Source organism: Homo sapiens, chromosome 12 (assembly GCF_000001405.40).
Source record: "Homo sapiens chromosome 12, GRCh38.p14 Primary Assembly".
NCBI classification, from domain to species: Eukaryota; Metazoa; Chordata; class Mammalia; order Primates; family Hominidae; genus Homo; species Homo sapiens.
In genome coordinates, this window is record NC_000012.12 from 62,998,311 (window position 1) to 63,002,806 (window position 4,496).

Genomic DNA, 4,496 nt, shown 5'->3' on the forward strand with positions numbered 1-4,496 from the left:
AAAAGAACAACAATAAACATGATAACTAAGTAAAAATTTAGTATGTAGGATAGTAAAAAGTGTTAAGGAAAAAAAGAAGAAACAAGGCAGGAAAAGGTAATAGGATAGGTCAAGGAGGAGAATTAAAATTTAGACATTAGAGTCAGGGACAACTTCACTCAAAATATCTGCACAGAGCCTGGATGAAGCAGATAAACTATCCACGCAGATATGTGGGGATGAACAGTCCAGGCAGCAGAACTAGCAAGTGCCAAGATGCTAAGGCAAGATCATTCCAGGAATGTTCAAGAAGTTCCAAAGGCCAGTGTGGCTAACAATATGGGGTGGGGAAGAAGAAGGAGGTGAGCTTAGACAGACAGCAGGGAGCAGATGAAAGGGCTTTATAGGTTTCAGGAAGGAATTTGGCCTGTAGTCTCTGTGAGATATGAGGCCCTTGGAGGATTGCAGACACAAAAGAAATGTGATCTGGTTAATAGTTTCAAAGGGCCTCTCTGTTTTAAAACTATACTGAAAGGGGGCAAGGGCAAAGTGGGGAGACTAGGATGGAAGCTATTGAGCCGATCCAGACAAAAGATAATGGTGGAAAGTGTTGAGCGGTGAGAAATGGCTAAATTCTGGATATAATCTGAAGATAAATTTAATAGGAGTCATTGATGGATTTGATACAGGATGTGGGAGTAAAAGAATTTAACAATGACTCTGGAGTTTGTTGTCTAAGCAACTGGAAGAATAGAGTTGTATCAAGTGAGATGGGAAGCAGACTGCTTGGCTTTGGATGTATGGAGTTTGAGATGTCTACCAGATATTCTAGTAAAAATGTCCTATCCAAGTTGACACTTGGATAGAGATGAGTCTGGAGTTTAAGGGGGAGTGATCTAGGTTGGAGACATAAATTTGGCAGTCATCAATGTGTAGATGGAATTTAAAAATTTAAAGCTTTGAGACTGGATGGGATCACACAGGGAGTGCGTATAGTCAGAATGAGAGGTCTGGACTGAATCTGGAGGAATTTCAACAATTAGGGGTGAAAGAGAGAAGGAGGAGGGAGCAACATTCAGTAGGAATGGACAGAGAGGGAGGAGGAAGTCAGGAGAGCACGGTGTCCTGGAAGCCAAGTGAAGACAATGTTTCCAGGAGGAGAGTGGAAACGCTGCTGCCAGGTCAGGTTAGGAGAGAAATTTGGCATCAGAGGGTCACTGTGAACCTAAGAACAATTCAGTGGAGTGGTGGGGATGATAGAGTGACTGTAGCAGGTTCAAAAGAGATGGGAGGAGAGAAATGGAGGATGGTGAATGTTGCAACTCTCCTAGGTAGTTTTTGTGGACATGTGTAACAGAAAGAAAAGCAGTGGAACCTGATGGGGGCAGGTGGCACCAAGGCAAATCTTTGTTTTTTAAATTGGAGAATTAATGTCATGTTTATATGCTAATGAAAGTGATTCAATAGAGAGGGAAAATGTGGATGCTACAAGAGAGGGAAGGCTTTTTGGAGCACATCAACTGAGCAGATGGAAGGGGATGGGATCTAGTGCAGAACTGGGGGTCTGGCCTCGTCTAAGCTCTTCTACAGCAATGGGAGAGACTCTAGTAGGCAGGAAATGTGGTGGGAACTTGTGGAAGTTCTGTTTTTATGCTTCAAAAATGGGAGGTTAGGACATTACTGAGAGTAAAGCAGAACTCTGGGGAGGAAAGGAATGAGGCAGAGGGCTGCTGTTTATTATTATTAAATAATATGATTTAATAACTGTGCTACTACTTGACAATTAAAACTATGTACATATATTAATTTGATAAAACAAACATTTTTAAAAAATAAGAGAGGAGAATGTCTGGACTACTTCTCTGGGTGAATTTTGGGAAACCCTTGAGATGAATGGAGGGACACACAACCAGCTGTGGAGTCACGGTTCTGGAATGGAATGCCCAAGGTCAGAATGAACCACTGGAGTATGAAAGATTTTCTTTGGATTTTAAAACATGAAGAATATTAAAAGTAACAAAACAATATTAATGCATTTCACTAGGACTTCTATCAGGAGAGATCCTGCCTCTTACAATTTCAAATATATTTCAGTGATTAAGCAACGTTAATCATTGCTATTTCTGCCTTTCAAAGTCTCAAACAAATAGTTATTCAGCTCTATGATGTTGGGAGCTCTTTGTATCCTTTGTAACTGGAAGACTGAGACTGGAGGATCTCCCTCTCTGTCTTTCCCACCCCTCCCTCTCTCTTTGTTCCACCTCTTTCTCTGTCTTTTCCCTTCATCCTGTTGCAAGACATGGGCCTCCACAAGTCACATTCTCAGTCAGGAACTATTTTTTTTTGAGATGGAGTCTTGCTTTGTTGCCCAGGCTACAGTGCAGTGGCATGATCTGCAGCCTCTGCCTTCCAGACGCAAGCAATCCTCCCACCTCAGCCTCCCAAGTAGCTGGGACTACAAGTGTGTGCCCACCACATCCAGCTACTTTTTGTATTTTTTGTAGAGATGGGGTTTCACCGCATTACCTAGCCTGGTTTCGACCTCCTGTGCTTAAGTAATCTGGCCACCTCAGCCTTTCAAGGTGCGGGGATTACAGGTGTGAGCCACTGTGCCCGACTCAGTGAGGAACTTCTTTATTTTCCTGAGAATCTCGTTTTTTCTTCCCTCTATCTAAATTGAACTTATTTTTCAAAATTCACATCAAATTTTGCTTTCACACTGAAGTTTCTTTTGACCAATCCAGTTCTCAGTTATCTTTTCCTCTTTTTCTTTACTTCTCTTTATACTTGGAGAGATAAAAAACCCAGGTCTATTGTTGGAAATAGTGAAAGGGCGTTAAGGTGTTATATGTTTGGAAGAATTTGTATGTGTAAGTCTCTCTATGAATTTTTAATAGAGCAGCTTAGAAGGGAAAAGGAAGTTTTCAATAGAAAACTTGGACTAAATATCAGGACATTTGTATTTTTAGAATACAATACTAAAAGTTGGATTTTTATAAAAGTAGGACTTTAAAAGGAAGTTTTCAATAGAAAACTTGGACTAAATATCAGGACATTTGTATTTTAGTCCTGACTCTGCCACTAGCAGTTTGGCTTTGATCAAGTTATGTAACTTCTTTGTCCCTCAATAGCCTCATCTTTAAAATTAATGTCTTGGACTACATAATCCAACTCTAGACACAATGGCTAAAATGCAAACATTCAGCTGCAATTTAAAGATAGGAAGTGTTCGTTGGGGGCAGATTTTGCCTTTGAGGGTGTGTGGGATTATGGGTTGGCACTGGACTTTATGTGCCTCAGACAATGTCCGTTGTCAGACTACTCACCATCCTGTGGAGCTGCCGTCCCATCCCCAGACCTCTTACCCTGCCACCATAGGGGCACCGCACTAGCTCTTGCTTGTCTGGGTCTTTGTTCTGAGCTGCTTACCCTGGCCCACCCCTCTTTCATGGTTATTTCAATCTGCATCCTCTCAGCTTTTACACTGAATTGCTTTCTCTTTTTTCTTTTCTTTTTTTTTTTTAAGTTTATTGAGACTTTTATTATTGTCCAATGTATGAGCTATCTTGATAAATGTTTCAAGTACACTTGAATATGTTTTCTACTTTTAAAAAAAATTATACTTTAAGTTCTGGGATACAAGTGCAGAACGTGCAGGTTTGTTACATAGGTGTACACGTGCCATGGTGGTTTGCTGCACCCATCAACCCATCATCTACATTAGATATTTCTCCTAATGCTCTCCCTCCCTTTGCCCCTCACCCCTCGACAGGCCCTGGTGTGTGATGTTCCCCTCCCTGTGTCCATGTGTTCTCATTGTTCAACTCCCACTTATGAGTGAGAACATGCGGTGGTTGGTTTTCTGTTTCTGTTAGTTTGATGAGAATGATGGTTTCCAGCTTCAACCGTGTCCCTGCAAAGGACATGAACTCATCCTTTTTTATGGCTGCATAGTATTCCATGGTGTATATGTGGCACATTTTCTTTATCCAGTCTATTATTGATGGGCATTGGGGTTGGTTCCAAGTCTTTTCTATTGTGAATAGTGCTGCAATAAACATACTATCCAGAATCTACAAAGAATTTAAGCAAATACAAGAGAAAAACAACCCCATCAAAAAGTGGGCAAAGGATATGAACAGACACTTCTCAAAAGAAGACAGTAGAGGCGACCTAAACATGGAGACAGCGGGCTCTGGTACTGGGCAGCCGGCCTCTCTGCTGGAGGCTCCCGGGTCCACGGATGACCGGCTTTTCCTGGTTAAAGGTGGAATTTTCCTTGGTACTGTTGCTGCAGCAGGAACGCTAGCTGGATTTATTACAACATTATCATTGGCTAAAAAGAAAAGCCCTGAATGGTTCAATAAGGGAAGTATGGTCACGACTGCATTACCGGAAAGCGGGTCTTCCCTTGCCTTGCGAGCTCTGGGCTGCGGCTCACTGTATGCATGGTGTGGGGTTGGTGTGATTAGCTTCTCAGTCTGGAAAGCTTTAGGGGTTCACAGTGACATGTAAGA

General features: G+C 41.8%; 1 pseudogene; it reads left to right on the forward strand.

The window, feature by feature from the left end:
* LOC100506911 (chromosome 6 open reading frame 35 pseudogene) lies at positions 4,140-4,496 on the forward strand (annotated as a pseudogene).